General features: G+C 39.2%; 2 long non-coding RNA genes across 3 annotated transcripts in view, besides 1 other annotated feature; one reads left to right on the top strand and one right to left on the bottom strand.

Moving 5' to 3' along the window:
- LINC02741 (long intergenic non-protein coding RNA 2741) overlaps positions 1–18,427 on the bottom strand; it is a 125,191-nt gene extending 106,764 nt beyond the window's left edge. The window contains exons 1-2 of one of the 2 annotated variants that reach the window (XR_001748196.2): positions 18,296–18,427; positions 16,240–16,344 (exon numbers count right to left, since the gene is read on the bottom strand). This is a non-coding gene — a long non-coding RNA (long intergenic non-protein coding RNA 2741). The remainder of the gene's footprint in view (positions 1–16,239; positions 16,345–18,295) is intronic. The other variant, XR_931218.3, reaches the window with a different exon arrangement.
- Positions 17,693–18,435: an enhancer, noted in NCBI's record as "OCT4-NANOG hESC enhancer chr11:41735352-41736094 (GRCh37/hg19 assembly coordinates)". NCBI's record gives its function as "activates a minimal SCP1, AML or CMV promoter by ChIP-STARR-seq in naive H9 embryonic stem cells {active_cell/tissue: H9 hESC(naive)}" and the evidence as "EXISTENCE:reporter gene assay evidence [ECO:0000049][PMID:30033119]".
- Positions 18,459–24,915, top strand: part of LINC01499 (long intergenic non-protein coding RNA 1499) — a 121,875-nt gene continuing 115,418 nt past the window's right edge. Inside the window, exon 1 of the long non-coding RNA NR_120584.1 lies at positions 18,459–18,494. This is a non-coding gene — a long non-coding RNA (long intergenic non-protein coding RNA 1499). The remainder of the gene's footprint in view (positions 18,495–24,915) is intronic.

Genomic DNA, 24,915 nt, shown 5'->3' on the forward strand with positions numbered 1-24,915 from the left:
TCAGTGTGGCGATTCCTCAGGGATCTAGAACTAGAAATACCATTTGACCCAGCCATCCCATTACTGGGTATATACCCAAATGACTATAAAATTTTTTAAAACACAGTTTTGGGGCCGGACGCAGTGGCTCATGCCTGTAATCCCAGCACCTTGGGAGGTCTAGGCAGGTGGATCACCTGAGGTCGAGAGTTTGAGAACAGCCTGACCAACATGGAGAAACCCCGACTCCTCTAAAAACACAAAATTAGCCAGGTGTAGTGGCACATGCCTGTAATCCCAGCTACTTTGGAGGCTGACACAGAGAATTGCTTGAACCCAGAAGACAGGTTGCGCCAAGGTCACGCCATTGCACTCCAGCCTGGGCAACAAAAGCGAAACTCTGTCTCAAAAAAAAAAAAAAAAAAGGGAAAACATGCCCATTAGCATTTCCTCCTAATAAAGACCATTCATAACACTTCAGAATCCTGCAATAAGCAAGAAAAATTATCTGGAAATTAATGCACTGCATTCACCTGCATTTAGAAGAATAGAGAAAACAGGGAAAATTTGTACAGTTCTTATTTTATGTGAGCTGTTAATATATATTTTTCTCTTAATCTTCACAGTAATCCTAAGATACGTGTATAAATATCACTCAATGTGCAGAAGAGAGTCTGACTAGGTCAATTCCTCCTCTAATATACTGTCCTTGGTAATGTTTTTCACAAATGAGACTGTTCACTTATTTGATGATTCTTTGATTTCTGCCTCCCCTATCTTAGTCTATAAGCTTAGTGAGGGCAGGAGTTATATATGCTTCTTGCTTGTTTGTTTGCTTGGTTCCACCAAGTATGCCCAGTGCCCATTACGAAAACTCCAATACATTATAGGTTCTTAATAAATATATGTTGAATAAACAAAATGGCGTAATGCCTTAGTATTAGAAAATGACAGTGCTGAGGCTGGGACCTCTGTCTCTGATGAGAAAGCTTGCAACAATAATTATTCTATGGTTTTCTTGCCCATATGCTTATAATAATTGCTTTATTTATGCAAGGTGGGTTTCTAGTGTTGTCAAAGGCTGGGAACCGTGGCTCAGCCTATAATCCCAGAGCTTCGGGAGGCAGAGGTGAGAGGATCACTTGAGGCCAGGAGTTTGGGATAGTACTGTCAAAGGACATGATAATACGTGTATAGTCTGATCTCTGGGCCACTAGACAGTCACTTAATGATTACATTTTCTACCAGTCCCATTAATTTTACCATTAATCATGTAGCATGTTTCAAAGCTCACCTGCTTTATCTACAGTTTTTCATTATTATTCATTTGTCTGATTTGGGGTCACAATATTGAAACCTCGGAAACCTTAAAAGAGACCTGTTTTAGCAATAATGCATATGCATATTTTTCCCTGGCATCTACAAATGGAGTAACTGTGGTAACAGAAGCCTTCTAAATTTGACAGCATAAAATATATATATATATAGCTATTTAAATATTTCATCGAGATGACTACAGTGGTTAAAAGGGCACCCCCATTTACTGAGGTCAAATGGCACAGGAGCTTCATAAATTCTTTCTTGTTGATCAATTCATATTAAAGGCCCTTGGATCTAACCACATCTCAGTTTGCACACACACATAATTCTTCCTGCATAAAGTTTTGATGGCACTCTAAACATTTCTGGAATTAAATTTTGTGTATCATTTGTGGTCACATTATCATCTTTCTCCTAGTTGTCTTTCCAGGTTTATACACGAGCTTCTAAGTATAAGGATCCTGCCATCAAAGACCAATGACGAAATGAGTAAAAGAATGGTTATTTGCCAAGTTTATTTTCTGCCACCTTAACTCTTAACTTGTAACAGGTCAAAAGTATAAAAAAATAAGTCAAACACTAGATTAGTTTAAAATATATTTTGAAATTATATTTCAAGGAAATTAGCGTATGTAAAATAAAGTCCACATCTGGTATGGAATACAGGTAGTGGTAGAGCAGAGCTGCTGGAAGAAAGATGGGCAATGCTGCAATCCCATCCACACCCATTCTATGGAAAATGTAAAAATCCAGTAACACTGATATTCACCTTAAATAGCACTCTTTCCCGAATACTTGAAATGTTTCAAATTGATGTATTGATCATATTTCCACATCTTTCAATAGTCATTAGCAATGTACAGAATGATGCAATTTTAGAGCTATCTTTATTTTGGGTCCATTTGAATGAGATGTGATTTACATTTTTCACTATGAACTACAGTGAACACCATTTATTTAGTATTATTGTTATTATTATTTAGGACAGAGTTTCACTCTTTTGCCCAAGCTGGAATGCAGTGGTATGATCTCAGCTCACTGCAACTTCTGCCACTCAAGTTCAAGTGATTCTCATGCCTCAGCCTCCCAAGAGCTGGGATTACAGGCATGTGCCAACACACTCACCTAATTTTTGTATTTTCAGTAGAGATGGTAAAAATGTTGGCCAGGCTGGTCTCAAACTCCTGGCTTCAAGTGATCCAACTGACTTGGCCTCCCAAAATGCTAGGATTACAGGCTTGAGCAACCATGCCCAGACAACACAATTTAATTAACCATTTTCAGAGGTTTAAATCTGTAATGAAGATAGGGTTCAGTTTTAGACTACCATTCTTCAGGGTCAAAGCTTAGGGAAAGAAGATAATTTTATTTATAATCATTGCTAGGCTGACTTTGCTTATCATTTCTCATAGCTGCACGTATAGGTGAGAATGGGCCAGGTTATGCTGTGTTAATATCACCAAATATCATTGACTTAAAACAACAGTGGTTTATACCTCACTTATATTGCGTGTCAATCTCTGACTGGCTGGGCACTCACGCTGCTCATTGTCATTACATTTCATTCTCAGGGAAAAACCACTGTCTGGAAATCAAAAGTTGTCATAAAGAAAAGAGAAAGTTCTGGAGAGTCTTTGCATGAACAATTAAATTATTCTAATGGAAGTGACGCACATTTCTTCTGCTCATTACTCTTTGGCCAGGACTGTCACTTGCCCCAGCCAAACAAGGGATTCTAAGAAATATAATCCTATCTGGTGACTGGGAAGTAATGGGGTATAAAAGATTAATGCACAGCAGTAATTACTACTATATTGCATGAGGCTTTATAGCTTCAAGAGGAAGGAAGTATAAAGAGATGAGAAAACTTCAAATGGGGGCTCCTCCAGTGGAATACAGTTTGGCAATGCAGAGCTTATTTCAGTCAGCCTTATTGTTAGGTTTTTATTATTATACACTCCTTTGTTTTTGTTTGTTTCTCCTTCTTATTATCTATAATTCCTGGTGATAGTCTACTACATTTTATCTTAGAATGTGTTACAGGCTCCATTTGTGATAGGGTAGAGCTGATGTTTTTTTTTCTTCCTTTTATTTGCTATGTAGGTTGTAGGAAACTTCTTTGGTTGCCATCTTTTCTATTGCCTCTAAAATTTGGGGTTTGGGAGACACCTTTGACTCATAGCAAAATATCTTGTGCCTAAAAATTAAAAGAACATGAATTTAAAAGATTATCTCATGCTGAATAACATGAATTTAAAAGATTATCTCCCACTGAATAGTCCTCCCTGTGATTGTGATTGCCTGACAGGTCCTTCTTGCCTGCTGCACAGACAAAACTAACTCATGGAGATGGTGGTATTATAGTAAAGAAACGGTTAAATTAACAGAAAGCTAGTGGAGCAGAAGTACAGGAGTTTACTACTCAAATCAGCCTCACCAAGAATTCACCATGAACTAGAGTTTCTATGAATAATTTGGCAAGAAGGGGCTAGGGAATGGGTGCTTCTGATTGGAGATAAAAATCATAGAGCTGTCGAGAATGGTCCTTGTGCACAAAGTAGCCTATGGGTGGGGGCCACAGGACTAGTTGAGTAATGAGTCACCGGCCTGGGTGGAGACAGTCAGTCACCAGAATGCAAAAGGCTGAAAAACATTTCAAAAGACCAATCGTAGATTCTACAATAGTGATGTTATCTATAGGAGCAATTGAGGAAATCACAAACATTTTGACCTATGGCCACATGACTCCTGAGTTGTAAGGGATTATAGAAAATCAATGGCTAGTTATTCTTTAACTGTGCCTACATCTTAGAAGAATTCAGGCCTGTATTAGTCTGTTTTCACACTGCTAATACATACGTACCCAAGGCTAGGTAATTTATAAAGAAAAAGAGGTTTGATGGACTCATAGTTCCACATGGCTAGGGAGGCCTCACAATCATGGTAGAAAATTAAGAAAGAGCAAAGGGACATCTTACATGTTGGCAGCCAGGAGAAAGTTTATGTAGGGGAACTCCTCTTCATAAGACCATCAGATCTCGTGAGACTTATTCTCTATCATGAGAAGGGCATGGGAAAGACCTGCCCCCATGATTCAATTACCTACCACCAGGTCCGTCCCATGACATGTGGAAATTATGGGAGCTACAATTTGAGATGAGATTTGGGTGGGGACACAGCCAAACCATATCAAGGCCCTTGACATAATCCTAATGTTGTGTTTTTTTATTAGTTTTACAAAGGTGATTTCAGTCCCCAAACTAAAAGGAAGTCAATTTTAGGGAGAGATTATTATTATCCTTGCTTCAAAGTTAAACAATAAACTAAATTACTCCCATGGTTAACTTGGCCCACACCCAGAAATGAGCAAGGATAGCCAGCTTGTGGGGATAGAAGCAATATGGAGTCAGCCATGCTAGATTTCTTTCACTGTTATATTTTTTTGCAAAAGTGGTTTCATAATTGGATAATATTCTTGATAACATACTATAGTAATGGAGAGATAGATTTTACCATCTCTTGAGATGACATAAATCTTTGTAGGAGAGAAACTGCTTTTATTAGAAAAGAAATCCACCAATATAAATTGGAAAACGTATGTATTACAAAGGTCATATTGCCTCTCTCTATAGTATCAGTCAAAAGTACAAGATTACAGCATTTTCTGATATTCTGCAAGAAAGAGGAAGAATAGTATTTGTTCTGCATAAACTACTGGGTCATCACAAACAGTTTAGGTTACTAAGGAAATGTGGCATCAACGATGAGAAAACAGAAAAAAAAGAGGAGGGGTAATAAAAATAGGATAAAAATAGAAGGGAAAAGAAAATCAATAGAAGAAAATGCAGCAGGTTAAATGCATTTCTTTCTTCTCATATCTATATTGGCACTGAATAAAAGGCATTTATTCAATAGATCCCCCAGTGCCTACCAATGTTTGGGCAGAGAGATGTCATTGCATTCAAGGCTCTTCATCATAGATCATTGAAATCAAGATCCTCTGTGTAGTAAAGATTGACTTTGCCCAGAGAATTGTTTGGCCCTTCCTTAAGGCTCCTAAAAGATCATCTCTAAACCCTAGATATGTCCTGCCTGATAAGAGTGTCTTTGTTTACCTAAAAGCCTTGGGTCACACTAGATAGTCTAATGCTACAACATGATTTATGTGGGGAGGCCTTGGGCCATGCTTGTCAGCTCAACATCTGCAGATGCTGGAGGCTAAGGGTAGTCATGTCAGAAGTCAATTTTGTCAATGTGACCAAGCCCCCGTTAAAAATTCTAGATATCAACGCTTGAGTTGGTTGTACTCAGTGCTCCATATGTATCATCACACATTATTGCTGGGCAAAGTAAGCACTATCTGCACAATTCCACAGGGAGAAGACAATTGGAAGCTCCATTCTCAGAACTCTCCAGGACCCTGCCCTATGTTCTTCTATCTTTATCTGATTTTAATCTGTATCCTTTTGCTGTACTGAGCTATAACTGAGTATAACAGCTTTCAATGAGTTGTAAGAGTTCATTTAACAAATTATCAAACTTGAAGGTGATTTTTAGGAACCCTAAACTTGTAATTGGTGTCAGAAGTAAAGGGGTTCTTGGGAACCACAGAACTTTTCATTAGTGTCAGAAGTCATGGTTGTGGGGACTCTTAAACTTGTACCACCATGTCCAATCATAGGCCATTCTACTGAAGTCCTTCCATTGTATGGTTCTGGATTATTTAGGCTCTTTGAGACAGAAGAACAAGTAATGAGGGCCATTTAATCACTGAGGCTTGACAATGAGGATATATTGGAAGTAATATGTGACAGAAAGTGTTGACTTCATGAAAGGGCAGCCTTCATAGACAACCAGAATATGCTTTTGTGAACAATGCAATTGATTATTTTAACAAGACATTTCTTTTCTCTTATTGATAATAAGAAGTTCTTCAATCCTTCATTACAATACCATTTAATCATTTTGGAACTAACTCCTCTCCACATCTATTTCTACTCCATCAACTAAGTTGCCTGTATTCTCTCTACTGCATAAGTTTATGCTTGTTCCTGGATCTGATAAATCACAACTGCTCCTCTCATACCTGCTATCTTCCCTCTGTGTGTCTTTTGACTTTTACCTATGCCCCTGAATTCTGCTATGCTCTGTATGTCAGGCACACAAAACCCTCTGAGATAAAATCTAGTTGAGCAAATTTCTGCCACTTTGGACTATTCACACTGAGAGAGCTCCTTATGCCAAGCCATCTCAAAGGCCAGTGGGTGACCTTTTCAATTACCTAATGCAAATATAATGCAAGCCACATATGTAATTTTTAAAACTTAGTAGACACATTTCTTTAAAAGGGAGAAAAAACAGATATAATATTATATCTAAATTACATCTAAAACATTATCATTTCAACATGTGGCACTAACTACTTTTCCATTACTGAGTAGATACATGTGGCTGGTGGCTACCATATCAGAGAGTTCAGATTTTGACAGTTGAGATCCATGTAGAATAGTGGTGAACCTCATACTTCAAAACCCAGTTATTGAAAAGAAATACAGGATAATAATTATTATAGAAGATTCGGGAGACTACTTACACTTACTTATCATTAAATTTTAGCCATATTACTTATTAGCAGTGTAGCCTTGTAAGAAATACCTTATACTTCTGTTAATTTTCTCATATATAAAATAAGACCTGGGGCCAAATGCAGTGGCTCACGCCTGTAATCCCAGCACTTTGGGAGGCCGAGGTGGGCGGATTACCTGAGGCCAGGAGTTCAAGACTAGCCTGGCCAACATGGTGAAACCCCATCTCTACTAAAAAATACAAAAATTAGCCAGGCGTGGTGGTAGGCACCTGTAATCCCAACTACTCAGGAGGCTGAGGAAAGAGAATCGCTTGACGTGGGGGATGGAGGTTGCAGTGAACTGAGATCACACCATCGTACTCCAGCCTGGGTGACAAGAGTGAGACTCCATCTCAAAATAATAATAATAATAAAATAAAAATAATAAAATAAAATAAGACCTATATGATATCTTTCTTATTGAGTTATGGTATCTCTCATGCTCTTGGCAGGAAGTAAATTTCACACTCAAAAAAAGTTAATAAAGTGCCTATTTACAGAAGATGTATTCAAGGTTAATGGCAGCAATAAAGAATAGTCAAGTACCCAGAGACTAAAGATAGCGACAAGTCTTCATTTACCACTGCATTGTCCATTTTGGCTTTAAAGGGATGTTGCTACCAGAGTTGGGTTGAAAGCTTGAATGTTTGGAAAAGGGGTCACATCACAAGAATTGACTCAGCCACTGCCAGAAATTTTGATAGTGAGGTCAGGAGGGAGCAGGATACACATAGGTAAGCTTACATGTCTGAACCCTTCTTTCATTCTCCCATCTCCTATGAGTGTTTCTCATCAATAAAACCCGACCAAATGTCAGGTAAAGGGATGAAATCTGGAGAAATCAATCATGTGGGCAACAGAACAAGGTAGAGAATGAATCTGGGGTAGAAGGAGGCCAAATGACAATAACCAACACAGGTTATTATGACAGTTAAGTGAAAAGAAAATCTGTGTACAGCATTTAGTATAGCACCTGGCATATAGCATATACTCAATATATGTTAGCTATTATTGTTAATTAAATTACATTAAGTCTACAGTTATCTTTGGATCAATCAGCTCTTATCATGGTGGTGAGGCTGTGAGTGGGTTAGACACTTAGAGGTTGATAGCCTCTTGACTGATATGAGCTCCAATCTCTATAATACAGCAATATTTCCTATCAGATACTACATATTCAGCCAAACCAAACCTAATGTTCTGCAAAGTTCTCTAATTAAATAATTTTTCTTGGAAGCAGTCCGATTTAAGGAAAATCAATTTATTGAAAGCCTATTCCATTTGCCAAAAGATCATTTGTCAATGACAATTTGCCAAATCCACCAAAGATACTGATTTCCCTAAAGGCTTACTTCTTCATTGCTTCTATTTATAATGTTTATGGGAATTTTTATTTAATGGTTTGGCAGATTCTAGGAGGACTGCAGAGAGTCAGAACTCCACATTCAGAAATCTCTGCCCTTCTGCTTCTCTTACCTCCATACTTCAGTTTTCTTTCTGTCCTTTATCTTCTTTTTCTCAGCTCCTTAGTGTCCCCCACCCTCTCTGGGTTTTCAATTCCTTGATATTCCTATAAACCAAGAAGTTTCCCTTCTCCATTCACCTCGCTGCCTCAAGACTGACCCAAAGGGATGGCATTGATGGCCTCTCTTGATTTCTGTCTTTCAGAAGAGTTAGGCCAATGGGAAATACCAACACGAAAATGAAAGAAAGGAGGATCAAAAGGTTGAAATATTTTTTTCCAATGTAGTAGCTATGACTGGCCCCATCCACAAATGAAAAGCCATGGCTCCTGTTGGGTGACTTTCCACACAGCTTTTCATCTACACGTTCCAAACACTTCTTCCTCTCCTTACTCTTGAAAAAATAGGGTTAGCTTTCTGCTCTGGAATAGTCGTTCTGTGGTATTGCACTATTCTGAGTGGTTTTCCTATATTCTATTGACAACATTAAAATAATATCCTTTTACACACCTTTTGAATTATCTTAATTTGAAACTGCTACCTTTTTTTCTCTCTACTTCACTCTGCCCTTCAGTGTCCCAAGGCCTCTGGCTTCTCTGCTCTGTATTTTTCACCCTTTTTAAAGAGCAGTGACTGAGAGATGCCTGTGAGCTTAGCTTCCTCTCTCTGTTCCAGTTTCCTTTTTTTGAAAGAGAAGAAAATGGGGTGGAAAGAAAGGCTGAGGGGTACAAAGGAAGAGACTACATGTAGAGAGATAAAGATAGGGGAGGGACAGAAGAAAGAATAAAGGGCAAATAAATAAAGAGATGGTCAGACTGAGAGGTACAGAGGAATCATGAGAAAAGCAGGAGAGCCTGAGAGCCTTGCACCCGTGGAATTCTAATAGTCACAGTCATCATGCATCCATCCATTGTGAATGACTAGAAACTCAAGACTTAGCTTTAATAATTGGGTGAAAATCACGTTTCAAGTTGATTTTTGACCAGCTGGTAAATTTTACTTCTCATATTTGCTTATTTTTTTCTTGCTTTTCCTTTTGAAAATACTACTCATTAAAATCCAAAGATTTCACTTATGTTTTTCCACTGTTTTGAAACCATCCATGACTTTCCCAACAAGAGGTATATTATTCTGATGTGGAACTTTCCAGAGTATGTATCTTAGTGCTGTGAAAGCAAAAATTGCACTGGAAAAAATTAAACAGGAAGAAAGAATATAATTGAAAACCAGTACAATAGAGGGGGGAAACCTGAATGTAGTCTAAACTCTGCTCAAAGAAAGGGCAGGTGAGTTTTTAAGATCTGAGATATTGTTTGGTGAGGGGGTCCTTAAATCACAGGTAACCTGTGTTTGTTAATTGGCCTTACCCAAAGAAAAAGTAAACTTTCTTCTATCTTCATGACAGGAGGTAATTTTACAACTTGGAGCAAAGTACCCACCTAAGTTAAGCTCCTACCCTTCCACAGACATTGGGAGATTGGGGTTGTATTTTCCTTAATGATTACATTTCAAAAGGTGGCTCCCAGGTCCTTGAGAAAGATAATTTTGGTTTGTAAAACTAGCAAAAACACTTTTTTTTTTGAGACAGTCTCACTCTGTCACCAGGCTGGAGTACAGTGGCGTGGTCTCAGCTCACTGCAATCTCTGTCTCCTGGGCTCAAGCAATTCTCCTGCCTCAGCCTCCTGAGTAGCTGGGACTACAAGCACGCGCCACCAAGCCCAGCTAATTTTTGTATTTTTAGAGACGGGTTTTCACCATGTTGGCCAGGATGGTTCCAGAGGGATTAGTGAAAAGCTTGGCTATGTGTACTATATATATAAAATATTATTCACTGCACCTGGCTGCAAAAACACTTTTTAAAGATTTACATCATAAAGAGGCAGAAAATGAATTTAGAGTTACAAGTTTTCTAAAGTAAATGCTCTAATAAAAGGGAGAGAGGAGATCTCGGTGTTTAGGCCATCTGGATTCTGCAAGGACCAGAATGAGGGCAAGTTCAGAGACCTAGAGTGAAAAAGAAGTCTGGCTAAAGTTTAGTCAAGCTGAGAGAAATGATGAAGACTTCTGGGTCTGTGCCCTATCTCCTTTAAGGACATGTACCTGTCTGTCGTATTTCTTGTATTGCATTGTGAGCTTCATGAGCGCCTGGAATGTGCCTTGCCTCTGTTTGTACCTCTTGAATGGAGTGATGCAATTAAAAGTGAGCAATAGAACATGAATTAAATCAAAGTTAAGTACTAGGCAGTGCTAACTGCGTGTGTGTGCATGTGTGTGTGTTTAGGTTTATGTGTGAATTCATTCAATTACTGTCCCTTTCAAGGGTGCTCATTTGCCCTCCATAGCAGGCAGTATTACAGATGGAATTCTAATAATCCTGGGAAGATCTCACTCTAATCTTCTGACCCCAAGACGTGCTGACAAGCCACATTCATTCCCCACTTTGCAGACACTTCTATGGAAGTAGATGCCATTTGCTCACAGAAAGGGTCTGTTAAAAGAGGCAGTAAAGCAAGGCATTCTGCAAGGAAATACCAAGAGCATATTTCGGTTAGGAGACAGACCTTCCAGAGTCTTTTCCAGTGTCAGCTGTAGAAATAAAGACTGATGCAGAGAAAGGTGTGGCAGAATGGGGACAGCGTGCTGAGCCTACAGAGAGATCTCTTTGAAACTGCTCCATTGCTGTGACCAATTACTTATCTAAAGGAATACTGGGCAAATAGCTCCTGTATTGCTTATTCCCTCAAATTTATACCCCAAAGATATCAAGTGTAAATTATTTGTCCCTAAAATACTAAAGCCAGGATTGGCAGAGCCTTTGAAACCTCTGTATCACAAATTCAGGAACAAACAAAAAATGAACTAAACTCCAAAATAAAGTTCAAGGAGTCTTAAGTCCTCCTAAGACTGAAAGTGCTTCTGCTCCAGCTGTGATTATTAAAGTCTTTTCTTACTACAAATAAGAAAACAGCAAGCGCGCAATAGAAAGTCAATCACTCTAGAGGGTCTTGCAAATATGTTGGTCATTTGAAAGGATAAATAACCTCCAACAGCAACCGAGATTCAATGCAGAGGTAATCTCATTTGAAGCAGTCTCATCTCCAAAATGGTAATATATTGAGTTGCTTTGCTTGGAAATACAGCCAAGAAGCACTTGCTCAACATTTTATTCATATAGTACACATAGCCAAGCTTTTCACTAATCCCTCTGGAACTTTTTGTTTAGAGTGAATGCAAATGCAGGAGACCCTTGCTTCCAACAAGACAATCAAATAACATTTTCAAGAGAAACAAACGCTAACCTTTCTTTCTATTTGATTTCATCCTTTCTCTTCTTTTCTTTGAAATGATCCATTTGGTGAAAGTATGTTTTTATATATTGTATTTCCAGAATAAATCAAGTGATATAAATTATGTATGGGTTGAAATGTGTCCCCCAAGAAGTTGTGTTGAAATCCTAAGCTCCGTACCTGTGAATGTGACCTTATTTGGACACAGGTTCTTTGCTGATGTAATCTGGCTAAAATTAGGTCATATTTAATTAGGGCTGATCCTAATCTAATGTGATTGGTGTCCCTATAAGAAGAGAAAACAGATACACAGGGAAAGAAACACCATGTGAAGACCCAAACAGACACAGACAGAGAGAAGATGTGTAGATAGAGGCAGATATTGAAGTTGTGCTGCCACAAATCAAGGAACTCCTGGGGCTATTGGAAGCTGGAAGAGGCAGGAAAAAATCCTTCCCTGGAGGCTTCAGAGGGAGCATGGCCTTGACACACCTATATTTTGGAAATCTAACCTTTCGAACCGTGAGATGATAATTTACATGATTTTAAGCCATCCCGTTTGGTGTACTTTGTTATGGCAGTCCCAGTGAACTAATATAAATGGTTAGTTGCCTTTCAGAAAAAGAAGCCAGAAAATACCACAATATTTCCCACTCTGAATATAAATTACTGCTTTTCAGGACCTAAAATTTTCTCCTGGCCTTTGTCAGTGGGCACTACCTGATGAAAAGAAGGAATCTGACTAATCTCTGTTCAAATTCCAGCTCTTCTCCTTTTTGGCTGAATTATCTCAGGCTAGCAATTTAACCTCTATAACCTTGACTCCTCTCAGTAAAAATTGACATAATAATAGCTATGGCACAGTGTGGATTTGTTTGTTTGTTTTAGGATTAAAGGAGATAGCATACATAAAACACCTGATGTATTAAACTTTCCTTTAATCTAGGTCCTTTCCTTTTCTCCTTTTTCTTCCTGGGCACATACCTTCACCCAAACCAGCCATCAACTAATCCCTCCTGAGGTTCATCTGATAATAGCTCCACATTTTATATATCCCGGAGACATCTGTAATTTAACAGACAACACTTAAAGGCAAAAAAAGCCCTTGAGGCCAAAGCAATGAATTCTAATAGAAAACTTCAGGGTTTTTGATAGGCAGTGGGGTCGTTACTTTTTGAGCTGGAGAACTTTGCAGAAGGTATTCAGAACACACCTAAGAAGCCTCAGTCTTACTTGTATGACTATCCCTGCTACGTAATCATTTCTGTTAAGAAAGTTCATTATTTTGGGTGTCTAATCTATTGCTTTTTTAATGTATTCATTAATAATCAATTATTTATTCAATCTCTCATTCAATTTATTAAGTACACATTCCATATAACACATTAAGGAAGTTATAAAAGTCAACCTAGCAAAGCTACTGCTTGGTTCCACGGAGCTTGTATTCTAGTAGGGGAGAGGAGACATTCATGTAAATAAATGAATCGTGTAATTTAGGAAGTTCTGATACCCAAAATTGAGATTTTTTTTTTTTTGAGGAGATTTTCCTAAATCATCATTTAATCTCAATCTTTTCCTATCTCTCTTTACTTTTTTTCCTCTCTTTTCCTCTGCCCTCTCTCTCATCTTTTTCCCCTTTGCTTCTCTTTTTACAGTTCCTCCCTCCAGTTCTTCATTTGTTACATGTTTATGAGAGTAAGAGCTGATGTGCCTGTAATAAAGCCTTTTTTTTTTTTTTTTTTTTTTTTTTGAGATGCTGTCTCGCTGTGTTCCCCAGACTGGAGTACAGTGGCACAATCTTGGCTCACTGCAACCTCCACTTCCCGGTTCAAGCGATTCTCTTGCCTCAGCCTCCCTAGGAGCTGGGACTACAGGTGTATGCCACCACACCCAGCTAATTCTTTTTTGTGTTTTTAGTAGAGACGGGGTTTCACCATGTTAGCTAGGATGGTCTTGACCTCCTGACCTCGTGATCCACCTGCCTTGGCCTCCCAAAGTGCTGGGATTATAGGCATGAGCCACCGATTTTTATGTGTGTGTATAAATATGTGTGTGTATAAATATGTGTGCGTATAAATATGTGTGCTCCTCAGCTGGAAATATTTTGGGGGTGACTACAGAACAGTGATTTTTCTCTAACAACTACTGTGTTCTCTCCTGTTTTTTTTTTTGGAAGTAGTGTAGCTGTGGTATTGAGTCTAGCCAAAGACTTCTGAAACAATGGCCCAGAAAGAGGCTTATTTTCAGTTTCCAACAAGATCAATATCAAACATCCTGGGCTAGATGAATAATGATTTATAGAATTATATTTAAATTATGTACATTTAATTAATAAGCCCATTATATAGTTTTTCTTGCAGTATTTCCCAGTCTGATATTTATCTTTATGCCACATTTTTTAAACCAAAACTTTAAAATCCAGCATCTATTATTTAGCTGTGATAATCTGTAATTGAGACCTGCTTTCTGTCATGTGAGTCTAAAATGTTTATACTATTACCTCGTCTATGTTTACTCACTGAACATTATCCTTAGTATTTTTTCTACATTAAGAAACATTTATTTATTCATTCCACACTTACATCTCTTTTTAGGAAACATATGAAGAGTTTTCTTCCATTCTCTATTTCTTCTAGCTCATGAAGCATACTTTTGACAAATTGATCCTTTTTAAAGAGCTTTTTGTTTGTTTGTTTAGATGATTGCTGGATTTAGAACCAATAGGCCTGAGTTTATACTTTGCCCCTATTCTTAAATACTTGTTTGATCCTTCATCAGTTAAAAAAATAACAACTTATAATAAGTGATATTTATTGAGCATTTATGTACTAGATACAGTGATAAAACTCAAGAAGAATTAAATCACTAATTCCTAACGCAATGAGAAATATATTTTTTGATTTCTAATGTGGACTCTCACAGGCCTTGTAAGAAATAATAGCTTTGAAAGTCAATGGAATTGATTTTCATGAGGCAGGTAGTTCTGAAAAAAGAGAAGTCTATTGAAAAACAGAAAAGAAAGCCCATAAGAAATAAGATATAGAGTATATGCCTTCACAATAAGTGAAAAAAGAAAATAAACAATTATACCCTAAGTGACTGAAATGAGAATCAATTATTCTGGAAAGAGATAGGAGACTGAAATACCAATGGGCATGATCTTGGACACCTAGGACATGAGAGTAGATCTTGGGGTTTAAGGGGACTGCACAAATATATATATGCACACACACATACATACATATATACACACACACATACATACATATATATACACACATACATACATATATATACACACACATACACACACATGCATACATATATACACATATATACACATACATACACACATAAATACACACATATACACACATACATGAATATATATACACACATATACACATACAGATATATGCACATACAGATATACACACATACATATATACACACACATATACATGCATATATACACATATATACACAAACATACATATATACACACATGCATACACACATATACACACACATATAAACATATATACATACATATATACATAGTATATACACACATATATAATACATATAATAAAATACACATATATCTGGTTAGTGCAAAAGTAATTGTGGTTTTTGCCATTAAAAGCAACCTATAAGCCCTTGCTTCAAGATATCCCAGCTTTCCGGAGCAAACGGGCATATATTTTCCATGTATTGATTTATGTCTTTGCCTGTTACTTCTGCTTCCCTGAAAGGTATGAAACCAAACTGTAATCTAACCACCTCAGGTGCATTTCCTTAGGACTCTTGGAGACTTTGTCTTTTCTGGCTGTGGTGACTCATATTGGCTCAGAATAAATCCCTTTAAAATATCTGATTGTGTTTTGTTTTTCCATTAACATTGCCATGGTCAGAAATTTGCATGGTTGTTAATCAATGGTTATAATTTTAGCCACACATGTGCCGTACTAGCTTTTTAGCATGCAGCTGTCTTCATTCTGTAGCTGCCTGCAAGACATCCATGAGTTTTTCAGTACAAGTGACACCCATTCTTGCTCTAAGTCTCTGATGATTCCCTTCCAAACTGATCCATAGAAACATGCCCCATTTAACAGCACAGAACACTTATTAACACCTCCAAATAGTCTGGGTGCAGTGGCTCATGCCTATAATTCCAGCATTTTGGGAGGCTGAGGCATGAGGAATACTTGAGTCCAGGAGTTTAAGACCAGCCTGGGCAACACAGCAAACAGAGCAAGGCCCTGTCTCAAAAAAAAAAAAAAAAAAAGTTTTTTTAATTAGCAGGGTATAGTGGCACACACCTGTAGTCCTAGCTGCTCGGAAGGCTGAGGTGGGAAGATGAATTGATCCCAGGAGTTTGAGGCTGCAGTGAGCCATGATTGTGCCAGTGCACTCTAGCCTGAGTGACAGAGACCCCATCATTAAAAAATAAAAATAAAAAAATAAAAAATCTCCAAATATACCTGAAACAGCCAAGATGCCACAGAAGAGAAGACTTTAAAATCTGTAATTGAAACAGACTAAGCCTAAGTGAAAACTTACCACTGAAAACCAACCCTTGGTTTACATAGGGACATCACCTGGAACATGTTCACTTCTAGATGATCTGGGTATAGTTTCAGATGTCTTGTGAGTACAGTAGCATACCTAGAATAAAGAATAAATGGGTCAGGCGTGGTGGCTCATACCTGTAATCCCAGAATGTTGGGAGGCTGAGGTGGGTAGATCACGAGGTCAGGAGTTCAAGACCATCCTGGCCAAGATGGTGAAACCCTGTCTCTTCTAAAAATACAAAAATTAGCCGGGCATGGTGGCAGGCGCCTGTAATCCCAGCTACTCGGAAGGCTGAGGCAGAGAACTGCTTAAACAGGAGGCGGAGGTTGCAGTGAGCCAAGATTGTACCACTGTACCCCATCCTGGGTGACAGAGTGAGACTCTGTCTCAAAATAAAAAATAAAAAATAAATAAGTACATAAATTATAAATAAATCTCCCACACTCTTCATCTTTCAAGATGGGTACTATAGTGCCAAAAATGGTGCTTTGGAATAGAGATTATCCATCCAAAGCAGTTTAGTGATAAAGATAAGACTTAATGCTGAGTAACGTAATTTTCTTGATGGCCTCTAAATTCACTGAGGGTATATTAGAGAGGTTCTCCTATCCCGTTTTGAAGAGGGAATAATATCAATGGGGATTTTATTTTCCAAAGATGACTGCAACAATATATTTCCTCCTACATCTAACATGGTGTGCACAGTGTGATTTTGCAATGCTGTCTCAATCACCCCCTAGGGTTAATCTGGGATTTCTACCTACTGGTTATGGAGATGTCTGAACATACAACACGTAACACTGGACACATGAAATCAATAGCAATTTATTAGACACATGAACTCACAGCCTGGGGAAGGAGGATACCACATGCCATGCGCTGCCAAATGGGGGTTGCCCTTGGGAACAGAGTGAAAAATGAGGGGCTTTGAAAGGCAGTCTTTGTAGTACCAAGAAGATGATGTGATCTCAGTTCCTTCAGGAGGATGTGATTCGCTTGTTTAAATAATTCTGCAGGCTAGTGGGCAACTGAAACACTTTGCTCAGCAGAAACTGCCTAGTCTTCTTGATAAGGAGGGTTGTTTGGTTTGAAGACCTTATGCGTGGAAGCAGAGTACTGAGAGAAACTTGTAATTACTCTATTCAAGGATTTCTGAATTTCACCAGATACCAAGACATTTCAGAAAACAAAGGTTATTTATTTTTTTCTACACTATTTCTGACATCAGATGTATACTGCTTTTTTTCCAACACTGACCAATTCTCCGACACCAGGAGAGTGTCCTATAATTCAATTTAATTTTGATACTCTCTACCTAGAGTTATCATCAGATCCCACAAATTAAGGGCTCAGTCTCGCAAGACTCCTGTAATTTCAGATTCCAATTACAAGTTCACATCTTCGCTATGCTATTTCTGACCGACTGGCATTAAATTGGGGGTTCCAACAACCCTCCCTCAGGTTCGATAATTTACTACAATTGCTCATAGAACTCAGGGAAACACTTTATTCATGTCTACCAGTTTATTAGAAAGAATACAATAAAAAATACACATAAATAGCCAGATGAAGGGATACATAGGGCAAGGTCTGGAGGTGTCCTGAGCCCAGGAACCTCTCTGTTGAGTTAGGGTAGGAGTGACTCTCCTCTCTCCCCTTCACATGAATGTATTCACCAACCTGGAAGCTCATCAAGGCTCATTGTTTACACATTTCTTTATAGAGCTTAATCTTCAACTCCTCTCCCTACATTCTTCTCTAAAGTTATGTGGGTAGAACTTAATGTTCCAACGCTTTGATTTCTTGGTGTTTCTGGTGACCACCCCCATCCTGATGCTATCTGGGGACCCCATCTTAAGGCAATTCACTAGCATAAAATAAAGTGTCATTAAGTAGGCCACCATATGAATAACAAAAGACATTCCTATCATTCAGGAAATTCCTAGAGTTTCAAGAACTCTGTACCACAAACCAGCAACAAAGACCAAATATATTTATTATGCTACAGTTCCACATCAGCTTGGGACTTAATTTTAAGCCTTACCTCACACATGCATCCAAAATCAGGTGATGTGTAATTCCCTCTCCTTGTGACCAAAAGAATGTGGTAAAAGTGATGCCGTGTTGTTTCTAAGAAGACAGGTCATAATGCTTCTTAGAATGCAGCTTCTCTGGACTATCTCGTAACCCATCTGTGAAGCAGGGAGAAGTCCAAGCTTCCTCATGAAGAGGATCACATCAAGGTAGCCAATTGATAGTTTCTGGATTTTCTCCTTGTAAGAACCATCTACTCAAATGGAAGCAAAAGGGGAGGGAATGGGAGAAAAAAAACCATAAAACTAAGCATATAAACAAAGGAGACTCTTTTAGCTCAGAAGAGATGACATTATCTTTTAATTGACAACTTTAAATTCTTGACATTATCTGAGGAGAGAACTCTAATTAGAAGACAGCAGCAAGAGAACATAAGGAGATTTACTTTTATTGAACATCTGATTTATGCTGATGAAAATATACTTGCTGCACATACTCCCTCAGTCTCATTTATCTCCTAATATTCACCTCATCCTTTAATTTATTCATTTACTTAACAAAGAGTTAACACATGCTTATCTTGTGGCTGCAACATAGTAACCTGGAGATTGTCAGTGGGGCCTGGGACAAAGGGACCAGAGGTAGGAAACCCTTAAGGAGTTCACAGTTGACACTGCCAAAAAGACATGAGTACAATGTCTTGTCGTAAGTTCTCTTAGGTATATGGTATCAATGGAAAGAGTCAAACTCTGCAAAATATTTGAAGAGATTTAGGCTGGGCGTGGTGGCTGACACCTGTAATCTCAGCATTTTAGGAGGCCGAGGCGGAAGGATCACGAGGTCAAGAGATCGAGACCATCCTGGCCAACATACTGAAACCCTGTCTCTACTAAAAATACAAAAATTAGCTGGGTTTGGTGGCACAGATCTGTAGTCCCAGCTACTCGGGAGGCTGAGGCAGGAGGATCACTTGAACCCGGGAGGTGGAGCTTGCAGTGAGCTGAGATTGCACCACTGCCTGGGCGACAGAACGAGACTCAGTCTCCATAAAAAGAAAAAAGAAGAGATTTATTATGAGCCAAATATGAGTGACCAGCCTTAAAAGATTCCTAGAATACATGCCCAAGGTGGTCAGACTACAGCTTGGTTTTATAAATTTTAGGGAGACATAAGACATCAATCAATACATGTAAAATGTAAAATGTACACCAGTTCAGTCTGGAAAGGAAGGACAACTCTAAGTGAGGGGTGTTTCCAGTTCACGGAGAGATTCAAAGATTTTGACTGGTAATTGGTTGAAAGAGGTAAGTTATTGTCTAAAGATGTAGAATCAATAGAGGGGAATGTTTGGGTTAAGATAAGGAGTTGCAGAGACCAAGATTCCCATTATGCAGAGGAAGCCTCCAGGTAGCAGGCTTCAGAGAAAATAGATTGTCAATGTTTCGTATCAGAGTTGACTCTCCTGGATCAGGGAAAAGAAAGCAATGAACTAATGGGGATTCTCTATAGAATGTAGATTTTTCTCACAAGAGACAGCTTTGCCAGGCCATTTCAATATATGTCAGAAAAATATAATTTGGGGTAAAATACTTCAATTTCTTTCAGGGCCTGCTATCTGGCATTTGATGCTATGCTAGAGTCAGGCTAGAATTTGGTGTTTTATTGCTTCAAAGAGTCTACTTTATCAGTCTTCACATCTATTTCAGTGTTAATGCTGGTCATCTGTGCCTGAATTCCAAAAGACAGGAGAGTATAATGAGGCATGTCCGACTCCCCTTTTCCATCATGGCCTTGTTACTGGTGATAGGTATCTGAGTTACCCCAAGTTACCAGTGGTGAATCTGCATGGGTCCACAGCAACTTCTTGCCTCCTCAGAAGAAAGACTTTGACGGAGGGGCATAAAGCAGAAAATGAGACCGAGGCAAGTTTCAGAGCAGGAGTGGAAGTTTATTTAAAAAGGATTTAAGGCCGGGCACAGTGGCTCACGCCTGTAATCCCAGCACTTTGGGAGGCCGAGGCGGATGGATCACCTGAGGTCTGGAGTTTGAGACCAGCCTGACCAACATGGAGAAACCCCATCTCTATTGAAAACACAAAATTAGCCGGGCATGGTGGCACATACTTGTAATCCCAGCTACTCAGGAGGCTGAGGCAGGAAAATTGCTTGAACCCGGGAGGCGGAGGTTGTGGTGAGCCGAGATTGCGCCATTGCACTCTAGCCTGGGCAACAAAAGCCAAACTCCATCTCAAAAAAAAAAAAAAAAAAAAAAAAAAGGCTTTAGAACAGGAAAGAAAGGAAAGCTTACTTGGAAGACATCCAAGAGGGCGCCTGAAGGACAAAGAGAACGTTTAACCTTGATCCCAGAGCTTTATAGGTTTGCCTAGTTCCCATGATTCTACCCCTAGGGTGGGTTTCCTGCATGCCCAGTGCCCTTCTTACCCTTGGGAACTGATCACTGCACACTGTATTTAGAAAGTTGCACTCATGCCCATCCGAGGCTTTCTTCTCTTTTTCCAGCGGACTGTACCAGGAAGGTCATATCTCACCATTTTGTCTCTTAGTGCGCATGCCCAGGAAGCTTTTTCTCCCTGGCATCTGCTTTCAATTAACACTTTAATGTTAATAGCTGTGGATCATCAGGAAATGGCCTCTGCCTGGCCCTGGGTGGGCTGCCAAATTTTCATTTTTAGAGAGGCAGTCTGATAATTGTCAAACCATCACCTGACATTTCTAGCAGGTGGAGAAAGAGCCCTCTCCTGCCCCACTCATCCCTATCTAACTACCTGTAACAGCCTGAACTAGTTTTCAGGTTGTGAAAGGAAAACACATCTTGGGACCCCCAAATCACTAAGCCAAAGGGTAAAGTCAAGCTGGGAACTGCAACAGGCAAACCTGCCTTTCATTTTATTCCTAAATAAAAGAGCTACAAAGATTTTTTTTAAAGCCACATGCTTCCCTCAAAATTTGCCCACAAGGAAATTCCTTATGGACAAAGGACAGACAGACCTCAAAGTCATCCCTCTTCCCACCTGAGACAGATATCTGATTGCTTCTTTTGCCCTATTGTTATACTAAACCAGACCAAGGCATAAATGACTATTCCTTTACCTTTCACTCAAATGTAAATTGTGTATTTAGTTAAAGGCTAACCAGAGACTCAAAAATAAAAAATGCAAGTTTGTCTCTTATCTACCTATGGCTTGAAAGCCCCCTCCCGAATTTGAACTTGTCCTGCCCTCTCAAACCAAACCAAGGTATATCATTCACATATTGATTGATGTCTCATGTCTCCCTAAAATGTATAAAATCAAGCTGCACCCCAACCACCTTTGGCATCAGGACGTCCTGAGACTGTGTCTCTGGTGCATCCTTAAACTTGGCAAGATAAACCTTATAAATTGATTGAGTTTCAGATACTTTTAGGTTCACACGGTTAACTTTGGAATGCCGTTGGTTGAAAGCAGGGGTCTATTCAGACGACTGTTGGGGGGAGAGCTTAGAAACTTAAAAGTATAATAAATAAAATAAAATAAATAAAATAATAAAAAAATAAAAATAAATAAAAATAAAGTTTAACTATTGAATACCCCCCCCCCAAAAAAAAAAGAAATGTTATTTTTGATTTACAGTAGCACAGTGGTAGAACCAGAGAGAGGTCCTGAAGTCAGTATTGGAGAGCAAGAAAAGGGAAACATAAGCATTAAAGCAGTTTATTTTTTTCTTCCCAATACTGCCATTAATAAACTAGAAAGCACTACATAAATGTAAAGTGAAATAGCATTATTAAGGGATCATTCCCCTATTCCTTCATGAATCACCACTACCTACGTACTGTCAACTGAAGAATGATGAGGTTCATAAATTTGGAAAAAAGAGCTTTATTTTTCTTTCTTTCTTTATTTTTTCGAGACGAAGTCTCACTCTGTCACCCAGGCTGCAGTGCAGTGGCACGATCTCGGCTCACTACAACCTCCACCTCCCAGGTTTAAGCGATTCTCCTGCCTCACCCTCCTGAGTAGCTGGGATTACAGGTACACACCACCACCCCTGGTTAGTTTTTGTATTTTTAGTAGTAACGGGGTTTCACCATATTGGTCAGGCTGGTCTCGAACTCCTGACCTTGTGATCCACCCGACTCGGCCTCCCAAAGTGCTGGGATTACAGGTGTGAACCACCCACCACACTTGGCAGAGGGCTTTATTTTTCATAAAGGATTTCAGCCTGCATATTGGCCATTCTGACAAGCCTTATCCCCCTGTGATAGTTAATACTGAGTGTCAACTTGATTAGATTGAAGTATGCAAGGTATTATTCCTGTATGTTTCTGTAAGGGTGTTACCAAAAAAGATTAACATTTGAGTCAGGTGTTGTTAGAGAGGCAGACCCACCTTCAATCTGGATGAGCACCATCTAATCAGCTATCAGCACGGCCAGACTAAAAGCAGGCATAAGAAGGTAAAAGTAAGGTAGAAGACTGGCTAAGTCTTCTGACCTCCATCTTTCTCTCATGCTGGATGCTTCCTGCCTTCAAACAAAGGACTCCAAATTCTTCAGTCTTTGGACTTTTGGACTTACACCAGTGGTTTGCTAGGGGCTCTTGGGCCTTCAGCCACAGATTGAAGGCTGCATTGTCAGCATCCCTACTTTTGAGGTTTTGGGACTCTGTCCTCCTTGCTCCTCAGCTTGCGAAAGGTCTATTGTGGGACTTCACCTTGTGATGGTGTGAGTCAATTCCCTGTAATAAACTCCCTTTCATATACACATCTATCCTATTAGTCCTGTTCCTCTAGAGAACCCTGACAAATACAGCCCCCTCACTGGACTCCTGTACAAAATCTGTGGTAGCACCAGCATTATCTGAGGATAAAGGTTTGGGCCCTCGGACATCAAAAGGTGAAACAGAGGACAGGAAAACCCTTACTGTGCATTCTCCAAAGACTGGCCAGGAACAGTGGGTAGTCCCTGGTCTCTTATCAACCATAAAATAGGGGAAGCATCAGGCTGTTGGTTAATATCAGATGAAGTCTTTTGAAAGGGCTGGTTTCTGGTAAGCCCTTAGGGAAGAAAGCCTAGTGGTAATGAGTGAGAAGGGTATAGGGAACTCCTGTTTAGTCATGGCTGAAAACTCAGCTTTCAAGGTTACTCTATGGTCCCCTTGGCCAAGAGATTGTCTTTTCAGTCAGTTGGGGGGCTTAGAATTTTCTTTTTGGCTTACAGTGTTAAAGTCTAAACTTTCCAGATTGCCTTTACTTTACCTCTTTACCTGTTCATCTCTCATTATGCCTGAAGCAGAACTGACTTTTATACAGTCAGAAAAAAAGTACCGTGTCAACCTTTCAATCTATCAAGCTCAACGTCACCATTCCACTCTATCAAGATGTGTTTCCTCACCCTCATATTCAAGAAACAAATTCTGCATTTGAAAGAGCACATAGTTAGGGAAAAAGAGGTTGGTATTTTTTAGAGTTTGCTTTGCCATGCATTTGCTATACTCACCCTGTCTAGTTCAGCACACGCTTACCTCAAAATGGACTTTTTGTACAAGGCGGTTCTTATGGTTCTTTCTGCTTTATAATGCTACGAACTTATGAGATATTTTTAGTGAAAATATGCAATATAATTGGAAGAAGAGAAAGCACCTACATATTTCAGTTGTCAGGCTCTGTCTATAGAAACATTTTTTAAATTTCTCTGAATATAATTTTTATTTCTTTTAATTTAGGGTTTCTAATATCAATCATAATATTTACATAAATCTTGGTTGCCAATAATAATAGAAACCTGCTTAACATAGGGAGAAAGGTAATTTATTGGAGGCATCACAGACAGTTTATTAAGTGAAGAACTGTCAGTAATAAAGGAAAGCTCCCCAGTTGTCAGGGTACTGCAATGATGGTCACACCACCATGGGAAGAAGATTGTCAGTACTGGGAGCTACCACCAGCCAAGACGCCACAGCCACCATGGATGCTGACGCATCTTTGCTGCTATTACTGAATGCTACTCATGTTTCCTTATACTACTGGCTCCACTTCAAAGTGGCAGTAAGAAATAGCCAATTTGCCAAGCCTAGCTCATGCGCCTACAGCGTTACTACAGAGCATGAGGAAAGAAAATATTTGAACTTGCGTATTTTTTAGTGGTAGGCTATGTTGTTATAAAGTCTCTCATATGGAGAGCACGCAAAATATGTCAACTTTGCACTATAATGTTAAAAGAATACACAATTCCAGAAGTCATCTGTGATATGTCATGCCAGGCACATAGTAGGTACACAGTTTTTGGCTTCTATATTTAGGAATGGAGCTCCATGGGCTGGTTACCCCATAACTGGGGTGTTAAAGTACCTGAGTTCACCAAGGATGCTAAAAAGATCGAAAGCATGCAGTGTCTCTTGATTCATAAGAAGCAAAGAAAGCCAACTGCCTGCACTCAGCAAGGACCAGAGAGAGTTGTGGCTCACTATCTGCAAAAGCTGCAGTTTTTGATATTCCAATCCCCAGTGGGGAATCTGCCAGGTAATCCCCTTCTCTCCAAAGCCTCTCAGCAGAATCCATGTCAGAGACACTGAGCAGCTGTGGGTCTGAGCTCGCTGGGAAGTGAGGTGAAAGCTCTGCTTAATTGTTCT

This window comes from Homo sapiens, chromosome 11, assembly GCF_000001405.40.
Source record: "Homo sapiens chromosome 11, GRCh38.p14 Primary Assembly".
Taxonomy (NCBI): Eukaryota; Metazoa; Chordata; class Mammalia; order Primates; family Hominidae; genus Homo; species Homo sapiens.